The sequence below is a fragment of the Homo sapiens genome, chromosome 1, assembly GCF_000001405.40.
Source record: "Homo sapiens chromosome 1, GRCh38.p14 Primary Assembly".
Lineage (NCBI taxonomy): Eukaryota > Metazoa > Chordata > Mammalia > Primates > Hominidae > Homo > Homo sapiens.
The window spans coordinates 83,943,483-83,959,072 of NC_000001.11; the positions used below are offsets into that span (position 1 = coordinate 83,943,483).

General features: G+C 35.2%; 1 protein-coding gene across 8 annotated transcripts in view; it reads right to left on the minus strand.

Annotated features, from left to right (window-relative positions):
- Positions 1-15,590, minus strand: part of TTLL7 (tubulin tyrosine ligase like 7) — a 134,109-nt gene that overhangs the window by 78,459 nt on the left and 40,060 nt on the right. For 5 of the 8 annotated variants that reach the window (XR_007063701.1, NM_001350214.2, XM_047430680.1 and 2 more), the window contains exons 2-7: positions 13,409-13,433; positions 8,705-8,905; positions 8,363-8,494; positions 6,383-6,504; positions 5,146-5,213; positions 3,642-3,800 (exon numbers count right to left, since the gene is read on the minus strand). Coding sequence is in view for 6 of the 8 variants with exons in the window: in NM_001350214.2 (NP_001337143.1) it covers positions 3,642-3,800; positions 5,146-5,213; positions 6,383-6,504; positions 8,363-8,494; positions 8,705-8,729 (506 nt within the window). In the remaining 2 variants the exon portion in view is untranslated. Of the gene's footprint in view, positions 1-3,641; positions 3,801-5,145; positions 5,214-6,382; positions 6,505-8,362; positions 8,495-8,704; positions 8,906-13,408; positions 13,434-15,590 lie in introns of those variants that run through there. The other 3 variants (NM_024686.6, NM_001350215.2, XM_047430691.1) reach the window with 3 other exon arrangements.

Consider the following 15,590-nt stretch of genomic DNA (forward strand, 5'->3'; position numbering starts at 1 on the left):
CATGCACACACAGCCATCTACAAAAATTGGGAGCTTTTTTGTTGTTTGTTTTGTTCTGTTTAAGGAAATCTCTGTCCAATTATTAGCTGACCACTGAGCTAACAGAACAGGAACTTCAGTGGCCATACACAGCAAAGAACACAGACTACAACTACTACAATGAGCTGCAACAACAAATTGCGTAGAGGGGGAGAGTCTAATTTCTAGAATTGCTATAGTATAATACTGAAAATGTTCGGATTTCAACAAAATATTATGAGGCATGCAAAGGAAAAAGAAAGTATAGCCCAAATACAGGGAAACTATCAATTAATAGAAACAGTTGCGAGGAAGCCCAGACATTGGGTTTACTGGATAATCAACTATTTAAAATTTGTTCAAAGAGCTAACAGAAACCATGTACAAAGAACTGAAAGAAACTATGAGAACAGTGTCTCACTAAATAAGGAATATGAATAGTGATAGAAAATTGGGAAAAAATAAAGGAACCAAACAGAAATTTTGGAGTTGAGAAGTATAATAACTGAGATAAAAAAATTCACTAAAGGATATAAACAGTATACTTGACAAGGCATAAAGAGAATCAGAAAACTTGAGGATAAGCCAACTGACATTATCTAGTCTGAGGAACAGAAAGAAAAAAGAAGAAAAATGAACAGAGCCTATAAAATCTGTGAAATACCATTAAGTACAGCAACACACACATAACAGGAGTCTCAGAAGGAGAGAAGACAAAGAAAAAAAATCCAAAGAATATTTGAAGAAATACTGGCAGAAAACTTCCCAATTTGATAAAAACATTAATCTACACATCCAAGAAGCTCAATTACCTCCAAGTAGGATAAACTCAAAGAGATCCATATCAAGATACATTATATACATTATAATCAAATTGTCAAAGAACACCAGAAAGGTGACTACTCAGGTAAATATAAAAGTTCTGGCCGGGCACAGTGGCTTACACCTGTAATCCCAGCACTTTGGGAGGCCAACATGTGTAGATCACCTGAAGTCAGGAGTTCGAGATCAGCCTGGCCAACATGGAGAAAACCCCATCTCTACTAAAACTACAAAAGTTAGCCAGGCATGGTGGCATACGCCTGTAATCCCAGCTGCTCGGGAGGCTGGGGAAGGAGAGTCACTTGAACCTGGGAGGCAGAGGTTGCCGTGAGCCAAGATCATGCCACTGCACTCCAGCCTGGGTGACTGAGTGACAGAGCGAGACTCCGTCTTAAAAAACAAAAAAGTCTCTCTTACTGTAGTTTCAGTTTTTAACTCCTCATTTTTCCTAATGAATTAAAAGACAACTGCATAAAACAATAGTTATAAATCTATGCTGATGGACACAGAAGGTGCAGAGATATAATTTGTGACAATAACAACATAAAGGGAGTAAATCTATGTAGGAACAAAGTTTTTATACACTACTGAAACTAAGTTGGTAGTAATATAGACTGGATTATTATAAATTAAGACGATAATGGTAATTCCAGGGCAATCATTTTTTAAAACTCAACAATATATAGTAAAAGAAATGACAAGGGAATTAAAATGGTACAGAAGAAAATATCTATTTAACACAAAAGAGGACAATATAGAGAAATTGAGGAACAAAAGCTACAAGACACATAAATCAAGTGGCAAAATGGCCTAAGTAAATATTTCTTTTTCAATAATTACATTAAATGTAAATAGATTAACTCTCCAATAAAAGGCAGAGCTTGGCAGAATGAATTTTTAAAAAACATGGTCCACCAATATGCTGTCTACAAGAGACACCCTTTAAAGTCAAAGACTCAAATAGATTCAAAATGAAAGGATGGAAAAGATATTGCAATAAAACAGTAACCTGGAGTGGCAAAATTGTTACAAGAGACAAAGAATCATATTATATAATGATTTTTTAAAAGTCAATGCCTCAAAAATATGTAACAATTGGAAACATTTATGTGCCTAATAACGGAGTTCCAAAATACATGAAGCAAACACTGGTAGAATTGAAGGGAGAAATACTTCAACAATAACAGTTGGGTTCTTCAATAGTCCACTTTCAATAATGGACAAAATAACAAAACACATTAGCAAGGAAACAGATACAATTCAATAGATGAGAGAGGTGTTCTTTACGTAGGTACTACTGCATTACATGAGATAAACCATGGGAACACATAATGCCCTTTCAGTTATCTGCTTTTCCAGCTATTTGTTTATATTGCCATCAAAATAAATTAAAAGATTATGTATGTTTTAATATCAAATATAAGTATATAAATATAGATATTTAATATTAAATTTTTAACATTAAAATTGAGAAAAATGTGAAAATCAATTCTTTACCATCAGAAACATTCCTTTAATGCTAACACAGAGACAGCCAACTCAGCATTAAGCAATTGGTATACAATTCCCACTAATACTATTAGTTTAAAATTACCAAACCACATTTGCAAATAATGTATGATTGGATTATTAAGTTATGATTAAAAGTCAAAAGAAAAATTTTGAACAATAATTTACCTGGTAGCTATATTTCCAAATATCTTTTTTCCTATAGCATTTTAAATTAAAATGACTCATGTATTTTTTTTTGACAGAGTCTTGCACTGTCGCCCAGGCTGGAGTGCAGTGGCTCGATCTTGGCTCACTGCAAGCTCTGCCTCCCAGGTTCACACCATTCTCCTGCCTCAGCCTCCTGAGTAGCTGGGACTGCAGGCGCCCGCCACCATGCCCGGCTAATTTTTTGTATTTTTAGTAGAGACGGGGCTTCACTGTGTTAGCCAGGATGGTCTCGATCTCCTGTCCTCGTGATCCGCCCGCCTCGGCCTCCCAAAGTGCTGGGATTATAGGTGTGAGCCACCACGCCCGGCCAAGTGTATTTTATTAAAAGCAGCCTCAGCCACATTTTCTTTGAAAAAGTACATTGCAGAAAACTAACATAAGTAAGCAAAAGGAAACAAGAGTATTACTTGCACATTCTTTTTTAATAGTAAATACATAAACCAGTAACAGTCATTTATTTTCATTATTAAGTATTATGTACCGTGTATAATTGTACATGCTATACTTTTATATGATTGGCAGTGCAATATTACTTACACATTCTATTCTCAGTTAACATGTCCAGCTCTTGGAACTTCAGTTTAAAATGTGTTCTACTCATTTTTAATCCAATTACCATGGCTACATAAAGAAAAAACTTATTTAAAGGCAAAGAAGATATGTATTTTCCTTCAAGATTTCTAGCTATGAAAAGAATAACTCCCTTTTCATTTCTTTCTCCAAGTCAGTTTTAGCTCTACTGTAGCAACTGATTTTACTCTCCAAGCCTATTGAAATTATTATAAATGTGAGTTTTATGTTTTAGAAAAAAACAGAGAATAGCTTTTTCCCCTTATATTTTGTTATCTCCTTTCAAAGCCTCACAACCTGCTGATTAAATTTTTAATTGAATTACTGAAGCCTGTGGGAGAGTTTAAAAGAATAGAGATCATTAAATATTTGGTTCCAAAACTACAATAGTTAGAAACCTATTTCGTTATTTTTTCATATTGGTACTCACGCATGAGTAATTATGCACATTTATTCTCCCCACTCCCAAATTTTTTTTTATTTTTATATATTCCAAATAAAAGCAAACCTACCCATGACCCATTGCACCATTAGCTGGTTTCACTATAAAAGTTTTCTGCTTCCGTTTTTTCTTCAATTCTTTCACATAATTTTGGAATTGAGTATATTCAGCAGGAAAGATCCAAGTTCGAGGAACAAAGGTATAATCCAGAGGCCGAGACTTGATCATTCTGTAAATTGGACATAATAGGAAAAATAATTTCTATTCAAACTAGCATATATTTTCTTTCTCTGGGCTACTGATATTTGCCACAAAGATTTAAATTTTCTCCATTCCTTCATTTACTTATTCATTGATTTCATTCATTCAACAAATGTCTACTGAGCACCTATTAAGTGTTAGACACTATTCTGGACTATGGATTCATCAGTGAAAAAAAAAAACAACCTTGCCCTAATATGTACTAATTTACATATTAGTACATCAAAAACATTTTTTTTAGAGTACACACTCTGTGCTAGGTACTGGAGATAGTAAGATAAATTAGTATCATCTCTGCTCCCAAGGAATATATACATAGGCTATTAATATTAAACAGTGTGATAGGTACACTAAAGGCATATAAGGCAAGGTAACATGTAGGAGTCAATAACTCTGCCTCAGGGATGGGAGTAGGGAGTAGGGAATTATTCAGGCAAATACTATTTATGTTGCTTCTTTACAAATTATCACACATAGGGAACAGTTTTTGATTACCTTTTATACTACCATTTTTTAGAGTCAGAAAGTTTACTAAATCTCTGTGAATTGTCTTCTTTTTTTAAAAAATTATCAGTTTATCACTCAACTTTCTTAAGTTAAGAAAAAGGCAAAAAACCCTAGTCAACAGGAATATAAACTGCCTAAAAATTTTTCAGTTTATTAAGTAAAAGACCGGGGTACTTATTATCAGCTTTTCCATGAAAGTAGATTGTTACTCTAAATATTGGTTGCAGAGATAAATATCTGTGCATGTGTATCCCTGGGTGAGCATATATACATGTGTCTTTGAGTAAGTGTGTGCATACATGTACCTAGTACAATCCCTGGCACATATTAAATGCTCAATCACCAATATGAAGACACACACAAACACACACACACACACACACACACACACACAGCTTATAATGCAACAAATTAGTTCCTGCAAAATTTGACTGAAAATAAACAAGTATCTCTTAAATGACATATACAGATAACCTCTTACATTTAAATGAAAAACTCTGTTACTAAAGAGGCAACAAGTTGCAGTAAAGAGGCCTGAGATTCTGGAGACTGATTCTGATCCACCTCTGCTATTAACAATTTGCTTGAGCTTGTGCAAGATATTCATTTCTCTGACCCTCATTTACCTCCTCTGCAAAATGGAAGACTGGAACCAGAGACCTTCTAAGACCTCTCTAGCTCCAAAATTCTATCACTCTCATCTAAATATCATTTCAAATCAATGTAACCTTGTGAAAGATAGCACTACAGTAGTTATGGTATAAATTTTGAACAGGTCTTCTCCATTACAAGAAAATAAAGATTACTTGGTCATATTTCTTGCTAAGAAATCCTTCCTACAGATCTCCCCCATTCCTGGAAAATGGTTGATCCTCTGGAAAATAAAAAGGTAAATATTAATATTCTCAGCGAATTAATTATATTCATGTATACGACAATACAATTCTATCCATCCTTTGAGTTTTATGTTTTAATAAACTGCCAATTATTAATCTAAAAGATTTAATGTTAAATGACCTACAGTGAATTTGTAGAATTAAAGAGTATGGTAATCAGAGAATAAAACTGCAAAATTTTAAAGAAAACACAAAAGAATATCTACATAGATAGTAAAGTTATAATTTTCTAGGTTGAATAGTGATAATTCAATATCCAAATTACTTTTGTTATTCTAGATTCACTATATTCACAGACATAAGCACTGGCAAAAATGACTTATTTGTTCACTACAGTCAATTTTATATTACCTTCTAAACTAATAAATGAATAAGGTCTATACAAACTGTCAACTCTCTAGAATTCCTTATATTTGGCTTTTTAGTTTGAGGTCTATTTTCTTCTGAATATAAGTTTGTATTATGTTCTAAAAATAAAAGAATGAAACCAGATTACATATAGCTGACATCACAAGTATTTCTGCATCCTGGTCTCCCTATGCAATCTACTCTACATCTTTAAAGCACCATCTTAGGAAGAGGTGTTTTTTTTGTTTTGTTTTTTTTTTTGGTGGTTGTTGTTTGTTTTTTGAGATGGAGTCTCGCTGTCACCAAGCTGTAGTGCAGTGGCCCAATCTCAGCTCACTGTAGCCTCCACCTCCCGGGTTTAAGCAATTCTCCTGCCTCAGCCTCCTGAGTAGCTGGGACTACAGGCGTGTGCCACCATACCCAGCTAATTTTTGTATTTTTAGTAGAGATGGGGTTTCACTATGTTGGCCAGGGAAGGTCTCAATCTCTTGACCTCGTGATCCACCCGCCTTGGCCTCCCAAAATGCTGGGATTACAGGTGTCAGCCACCACGCCCAACCAGAAGAGGTTTTTTCTATTGATTCTTCCCTAAAGATAGAAAGAGGTTAAAACTTAAGTCTGCAAAAGATGCAGGCTTCATGCAAAGAGCCAATACAACTGGATAGCAACAAAACAGGCTATTCAGGTGAGTAAGAGCTGAAATGTAATAAGGCAACATATTAAGAACCTATCTAAAAAAGTTATGTGGAATCCATATAACTTTCCTCATACCACTAACTGGTCATGATTAATTTCCTACCTGATAATTTTGCAGCTCTGAAATTTTCTCCTGCTGAACAGCAGAATCACACCATATAAGATTACTTGTTTCATCCTCATCTGGAGTTTTCATAAATCCCATTTCATCTATTACTAAACGAACTGCAAGTAAACAGTTAAGTTAAACCAAAATTAAAATACTTCTGAAATATATTCATTGCAGAAACATTTTTCTATCTAAACTTTAGTTCATAGTATTTCATTTGAAAAATATTAGTTACAGCCTAACCTTATTTTTAGTTACAACAGTTTTATCTAGGGCCAAATTATTCTCAGTAGTAACTGAGAACTGTTTTTCGGTTGCACCCAAAAATCCTTCCTTTCGATCTTCTCAGGTTTAACAGGTACACAAAACTGCCAAAGGGTTTAGTGATTATTTATGGCACAAGGAAAACACACACAGCTGAGACAATACGTCTACTCAGGAAAATGTACTTTTTATAGCTTTTTTTATGACCTTCGGTTAGGTACAAAAGACCAAAAGTAAAAATATCCCCTGATCATCACACCTATGCCATACTTTCCACCTCCCTAGTTCAAATTATTTTTAGTACTTAAAGTCAACTCATCTATGTTTACTTAGGACGTGAAATAATGAAGCAATATTCACAGGAGAGATTTGGTTTTGGTTCTCCACTGCTCCCAACCCTCTAATCCTACTGAAAACGTTTATGCTCAGAGGAACGTTTCCTTTTTAGTACAAACTATTCATGTGTTCCTCTCCAATCTAGATTTTACAATTAACATATTGGCATTTTTCTTCCACTGAATTTCAAGTGTGGAATAAAGATAAGCAGAAGACTTCAGGTAATTTTTGGCTTCCAACAGAATCCTGAGTCTTAACAGAATGGTGTAGTCCCAGGTGACAGTGTACAATCCCAAGAGTTGGGGAAAGGAATATTCCTCTCTCATCTGTCACAGACCACCATGCAGCTTTGGCATCCTGAGGACTCAGCAGCTGCTGTGCCACCTACAGCTCATGTAGAGAGCAAGGGCAATAGCAACACAGACTATTCCTTACCTGGCTCACAAGCAGAAAACAATAACAAATTCAGAAGAGCATGTCAGGAGCACAACTGTTCCTGAGTATATGAGAGACACTGCCTGCAGCATCTCAAAGATACCTGGGAAGACTTTAGTGAGATAAATGGAACTCCTGGCAGTTACGTTTAGAAGGAACGTAGGCTGGGCACGGTGGCTCACGCCTGTAATCCCAGCACTTTGGGAGTCCAAGGTGGGCGGATAACGAGGTCAGGAGATAGAGACCATCCTGGCTAACACAGTGAAACCCCGTCCCTACTAAAAATACAAAAAATTAGCCAGGTGTGGTGGCGGGCGCCTGTAGTCCCAGCTACTCGCGAAACTGAGGCAGGAGAATGGCGTGAACCCGGGAGACGGAGCTTGCAGTGAGCCGAGATTGCGCCACTGCACTCCAGCCTGGGCGACAGAAACTCCGCCTCAAAAAAAAAAAAAGAAGAAGGAATGTAATGTGTTACTTAAATTTGGGTATTTATGTATACACAAACCCATGAGGCTAGGAACATTCAGGTTATATATGAACATTGGAAAGATCCATTTTTTCTTTACATTCATAAATTCAAATTTGTCAGGTCAGTCACATATAAACCTATCTTATTATGAAATTCACAGCTTGAAGAGCTGACAAAATTAAACTTCAAAGAAAAATACAATGCCAAGTCCCTTTTTTCAGCTAAGCTGTCTAATCATATTAAGTGTTTGAACTGAAATTTTAGAAATCAGTTGGGATCTTTTTAAGGATATCATCTTCTACCACACAGAAAAAGAATCCTTCTAATATGTTAGAAATTTTATAGAAGGCATTTAAAAATCCATTATATAAAAGATAAGTTATCTCTTTGGATTTCTACATTGTTTTTAACACCAAATCAGTTTTTCCAGCAATTATGAGAATCCCATGATTGCTTCTAAGGAAACCTACCAATTTCAAACTTTGTCCCGGCAACATTTGCTGTAATGGTTCCCTTCTTTTTCTTCTTTCTGACTTTCCTTTTCATTGTGCTTTGATAAGGTAATTCTGTATTCAAATCCAGGGGAGAGGGTCCCTGAATAACTTTAAAAAAATGTAAAATAATCAGATAACACTGAAAACAAAAATCTATACCAGACAACACAAATACCACCCCCACCCCACACCAAGGTAAAATTACAAATCCTGGTACTTTAAAAAGTCCCCAATTAATTTTTAATACTTTAAAAATATTAACAGTAATGATGTATAACACCTCCATATTTTGTAACATAGTTAAGTCAATTTCCCTACCTCCTTCTTGAGGCAGAGATGGCATTATTGCCTGTGCTGATTAGCAAGCAGTGTGTGCTGCTGTACCAAGCTCTCAGGAAATCTGGAAATTCCACATTAGTCTAAGTAGGATATGGCCCCAAATCACTGAAAGTTCTTATCATATTATCTTGGTGGAATCCTCAGATTTCAGGATACCAAAGTTATGGGATAACAAGGTACCTGCAGTGATTTTAAAACAAGGTCATTTAGAAAAAACTTTTTTGAATTTTTTTTCATATATGCCAAGACTATTCTTTTTAAAAGTCAAGGTGAAAGTTAATGTGTTCAATCAACAAATAATTGTAAATCGGTTTATTAAACCTTACGCAAAATGCCAAGTGATGCTTTCCTATCCTGAAAGAATGCATAGTCTAGGGGAAGAAGTTTTATTAAGTCACGTGTCACATGTATATTCAATAAATAATATACTATACACAAACAATAACAGCAATAACAATATTCACTACTATTTATTGAACACTTATTATCTTAGGCATTTATATTATACCATTTAATCTTTCAACAAACCTGTAAGGTAGAAGCTTTTATCCCCATCTTACAGATAAGTTGAGCTTAGAAAGGACAAATTATTTTGTGTATCTTTACAAAGAAAATTACAACACAGAGATTAAAATGAAGATTCTTCTAATGTCAATGCCAGAGTGTCTTATTTAGAAACCCACACAACCTTCAACCCAATGCCTGAAACACTGCTTTTAATATGAGACAGTGAAAAGTGCCAGGCAGGGTAGAGGTCACATGTTGACAGAATGCAGAGAAGTGATTCCTATATAAAGGATTATGGGGGACAACTTAATAAAGTAAACCACATCTTGAATTGTGCCTTAAAAAATGAGAACAGTTTTGAAGGACAGAAAATGGGTGGGGTCATTATTATGATGATTTTATTCAGGCACACAGAGGAATGCAACAATCAATGAATTAATTTGATCTGGCTACATCTCAACATGGCCTATAGTACACTTTGCTTGTATTTTCATTGTAAATATATGAACGTAGGCATTTATGCCCTAACAATACCATATTGTTCAGTCTGTACTATCAACTTTCTAATTTCTCCTTATTGTAAGAATCCTTCAGTTCTTGTAAAATATCTATAAACACAATGAAAAATAAAACCTATTATGATAAGCAAAGGTATAATATCAACACCTTTATTAGATTGTCAAGTTTATCAGAAATTCAGAAACATCCAACATTCAGCTACATAAAACGTGAGTCCTATATCACTCCAAATATTCATTATTATTAATGTTTCAATATTAAAGAAAATTTAGGGTTTTATTTGTTCTCAGGTATCATTTTTACTAAAATGATTGTCTAGTATAATTCAATATCAAAACGGGGAACTTTTATTTATTACAGACCAACTGTAGGTAGGCATTTTATTAAGCATTTTAAATATTTTATTTCATTAACAAACTTTAAATTTAGGTATCATTTCTCCCTATTTTCCAGAAAAAGAAACTAAGGCTAGATAAGTTAAACAAATCAAGGTAACATGGCTTAGAAATAGAAAACTTAGACTTTAAACCCAATTCTAATTATTCTATTCATTAAGCTCCCCTATTTTCAGACCCCATGCTAACATAATATATAGACATATGAGAAGTTTCCAACCCTACTGCAGTACATGCCGCAAGATATGGCCATATTCTGGGAATTTGCAATACTTCAAACAGTGAATTCACAGTAAAACATCTCTAAACTGATCTCAGCTCCCAATGCCAAGCTGGAAACAGACTGGATCACTTCTCAGAATAAAAGAAAGGAGTAGTGTAAAGTTTAGTTCAGTTTCTTTCTGGAGGCTCTCTGAAACCTCAGGGAAGTAACTATTTGAGTTTACAAGTTTTTTGTCCAACATCTTGTTACTGGAGTAAACAAAGATCCCCTTTACAGTAACAGAATACTTATTACATTGAAAGTAGGTGACAAAGTCAACAAGACTTTAAAAACAAGCTTCACCTAACTATACTAGATTCTAAAAACAAATTTGTTAGTTTTTGACTTAAATAATAAGTCAAATGGCTGATTTGTACAGAGTTCAAAACAAGAACTTTTATCCCTTCCCCAAGGCATACAGGAATTTAAAGTTCTTAAAATTATACTATGCATATATGCGCTTTACTTAATTCCATTTATGCCTTAGTCAAAGTGCTTTAACAAACTCAAGGACTTCATTCAACCATGGCAATTCTAATCAGCTTTATTCTAAGCAAGAGATTTGAGATGACGGATTTATCCCACCACTCATTTGAAACCATAGTTACCTACTTTCCAAAAGCAGAAAACATGTTTCAGTTACCTCTGAAATGCTTTAAGCCAATGGCTTCTCAACCTTGGCTGCAAAGCAGAATTGCCTGAATGAGGAGCTTTTGAAAATCCTGCTGTCCAGGCCACACCCCAGAACTAAGTGGGGCCCAACCATCAGCATTTCTAAAGCTCTTCATGTGATTCCAGTGCAGCTAAGGTTGAGAACCTCTACTGTAAGCACACGATGACAATGCAACAAATAATAGCTAATTATAACAACACATGAAATTATAAGAAAAAAAGTAAAAGAAAACTCATAACTTTTTTAAAAAGACCAAATAGGTAAAAATTACCCACAAAAATCCTGTTTTCCTATCTAGTTCAAAAAAAAAAAAAACCAGAAAAAAATTTGACGGTGAGCACAAAATGATTTTTAAGATAAAGAAACAGAATTTATTTACAAAAGGAATCAATTTTCCAAAATTTCAAGCAAATGTTAACCTTGAACATAGAACTGTCAAGCACCAATAGATACACGAAATTGAAACAAAACCAAAATAATTCCAGTACATTTGTGCTAGAGTACCATTTCTTCCCTATTCTTCCGTTGAGCTTCTACCACACTTAAATTCCACATAAAATACCACTTTTTCCTGAAAGCTTTCTCTGATTATATCTGAAGAAATTCATTTCTCCCTCTTTTGGGCTATCACAGGCCTTATTTTTACCCTTATCATAATCACCTGCCAAAAAGATGGTTTTCTTCTATCTTGTTCACTCCTCCATTCCCAGGTCCTAGAATAGTGCCTGACCATAGTGTTCAATAAGCACTTGTTAATGTGTGCTATGGTTTGAATATTTGTGTCCCTCCAAAATTCATGTTGAAACATAGTCCCCAATGAAACAGTATGATGAGGTAGGACCTTTAGAAGGTGATTGGGTCCTGAGGGCTCCTTCCTCATGAATGGGAAGGACTTTATAATCAAGGCTTCACACAACCTTTCCATCCCTTCCACCATGAGAACACAGCATCCATCTCCTTCAGAAGGTGCAGCAACAAAGTACCATCTTAAAAGCAGAAACAGCAGCCCTCACCGTCAATAAACCTGCCACCACCTTGATGTGGACTTCCCAGCCTTCAGAAATTTGAGAAATAAATTTCTATTGTTTATAAGTTATCCAATTTGTGGCGTTTTGTTATAGCAGCACACACGGGCTAAGACACTGAGTTAATAAATCGGTTAATTAGCCAGGCACCATGGCTCATGCCTATAAATAATCCCAATACTTTGGGAGGCCTAGGCAGGAGGATCACTTGAGACCAGGAGTTTGAGACCAGCCTGAGCAACATCTCCACAAAAATTTAAAAATTAGCCAGGCATGGTGGTGCCTGCCTGTAGTCCCAGATACCTGGGTGGCTAAGAAGGAATGATAGCTTGAGCTAGGGAGGTCAAGGCTGCAGTGAGCTGTGTTCATGCCACTGCACTACAGCCTGGCAGCAGAGCGTGTCTTAAAAAACAAACAACCAATCAATTCATGAGAGCTGAGAGAAAAGAGAAATAGTCATCAAGCTCTGAGAAGCAAATACATGTAATTTACAATATATTACTTTTCACTTTAAAAAAATTTTATTTATGTATTTTGTTTTATTCATTTATATTGTTTTTTAGAGACAATCATAGCTCACCGTAATCTTGAACTCTTGGGCTCCACAATCCTCCTGCTTCAACCTCCCAAGTAGCTGGGACTACAGGTGTACACCACCACAACAGGCTTTTATTATTATTTTTATTTATTTATTTATGTATTTATTTATTTATTATTTTAGAGATGGGGTCTCACTATGTTGACCAGGCTGGTCTCAAACTCCTAGCCTCAAGTTATCCTTTCGCCTCAGCCTTCCAAAGTGCTGAGATTACAGGCATGAGCTACTGCACCTAGCCCACTTTTTTTTTTTTTTTTTGACACGAAGTTTTGCTCTTACTGCCCAGGCTGGAGTGCAATGGCACAATCTTGGCTCACTGCAACCTCCGCCTCCCGGGTTCAAGTGATTCGCCTGCCTCAGCCTCCCAAGTAGCTGGGATTACAGGCATGCGCCACCACACCTGGCTAATTGTTTTGTATTTTTAGTAGAGACGAGGTTTCTCCATGTTGGTCAGGCTGGTCTCGAACTCCCGACCTCAGGTGATCCGCCTACCTCGGCCTCCCAAAGTGCTGCGATTGCAGGCGTGAGCCACTGTGCCCAGCCCTAACCCACATTTTTAAGTGGAAAAAGCAAAGTACATAGAAGTTTACATATTACACTGCCACTTGAGCAAACCAACAGAGGAATATATGGAACATATCCACTGAGCAGTTGTGGCCTGCTATGGCTAGGGGTGGGGCTAAGGGAGACTTACTTGTACTTACCTTTAGTACTCTGTATATGTATTACCTGTTCAAAAAAGTAAAATATATGTGATAAAATTTTGTATCAATATAATCATGTTGATAACCAAAATCATCAAACTGTGTTCTCCATTTAAGTGAAAATACCTTTATTTCATTTAAATGAAAGTATAATATGGTAGAAAGAGCACTGAACAAGGAGTCAAATCAAATTCCTATCCTTTAATTTTCCACTTAGCAGATATAAATTCTTAGGCTGCAAAAGTAAAAGATTTATTCTTTCCACCCCTAAAGTCTAAAATGGCAACCAATGAAGATAACATTGCTGATATATTTTATGGCAAAAGATGAAGACAAACTTCTTTTATGTAAAAGAAGGAAACACAAAGAAAACTCAGACCTTCTCCAGCAACCCTCAATCCATACCCCAGTAAACATAATATATGAGGTCTTTGTACATTAATTTTTAGCTCACCCAAAGATTACTAAAATAATCAAACAAAAAGTCAAGAGGATCCAAAAATAGGGTTAAGTTAAAAATATGTAAAATAATATTAAATAAAAACATAATAAGAGCTGTTTTGTTGTGACAAGAGGAAGGAGAAAAGAACCAGTACAAACCAGTATCTACTTTCACATAACTTTATTTAGTCCACCCAACAAATACCCAGTACCTTTTATTCCCATTTTATATATGGGAAAATGTAGGCTCCAAGGTTAAGAAACTTGCACAAAGTCACACATCTAATAGGTTGAAGTGGTTTGTGGCTTCTACCTATTAGAAGAAGTATGGGAAGGAAACCCATATTCCTTCCCACTTTTTGTGCTACCTTCAAAATTCAGCCTTTAAATATAACATATTGAAGATTTCGCAAAGATGCTTGATTTTGTTCGACTGAATCTACGTTAAAAGCTGGAGCCCAAGGACATAGTGAGAAGGCAGTCCTCTGAAAGCCAGGAAGATAGCCCTCACCAGGAACCTAATTGTCTTGAGCCTTTTTTATCTTAGACTTCCCAGCCTCCAGAACTGTGAGAAATAAATATCTATTGTTTAAGCTACCTAGTCTATTATACTTTATTATAGCAGCCTGAGCAGACTAAGACATTGAGTCCAGTCTGCCCCTGGCTTCACAGAGTAGATAATTAAACTCTATCCTGAGCTTGCTATGGATTGTAACAATGATAATGAGGAAGAGCAAGAAGACAACAAAGAGGAAGAGAAGGATGGGGTTGATATCATCACTTATGTAAAACATCCTATGTGCCAGGCACTTTTTGAGGTTTATACATATAAAACTCTGACCTTCAAAACCCTAAAAGATAGATTATTATCCTCATTGATAATCGTTTAAAGAAAAGAGATATAATGAACAATGATATTGAAAAACAAGTTATAAGAAAATTTTAAAGTAACAATTTTGCAAATATGTCTCAAGATAATCTTCTCCAGATCCCTAAATTGTAATTATCGGATGAAAGACATTTCTACTATCACTTCCAAAAAAAAGAGAAAAATAACAAATGTAACAAAAAATATATCCAAGTAAGCTTTTACTTTGAGGCAAAAACACTCTCCACACACATTAACATTATTTGCAGAGAGGTCATTACAATTAACAGTCAGAAATCTATTACTTCCTAAAAATTATAAAAATAAGGCAGTTGTATATGCAAAAAGTAGTATTTCCAAATATCAGGTCATGAATGAAATTTTGTCCATTTTTGTATTATTAATTTCATTAAATTTCAGCACTTGGTTCCCAAACCAAATTTGATATATGCTTTCTCTTATATGAAATCATGCTTTTTCTCATATGAAAGAGAATAAAAGTAAATGAAACATGCCACTTTTAAACATCAAAATTTAAAATGCTTATTTGTTTTGAATATTATTCAGATTGGATTTAATGTCAGTTCTACATTAGTGTTTCTTAAATTGTAATGTGCACACCTGGGACTACTGTTCAAGTTCAGATTCTGACTCATTAGGTCTGAGGTAGAGCCTGAGAGTCTGCATTTCTGACAAGCTCCTAGGTATGCTGGTTCACAGACCACACTTTGAGTAGCAAGGCTCTGGATGACCACAATGTTTATCATTATGCAGATACAAATTTTTGAACTTAAAGCCCTTCTTTAAAACATGTAAAACTTAGGAAATTATAACATGATTGAAAAATTCATGTAGGTGATTGTGAAATTATAT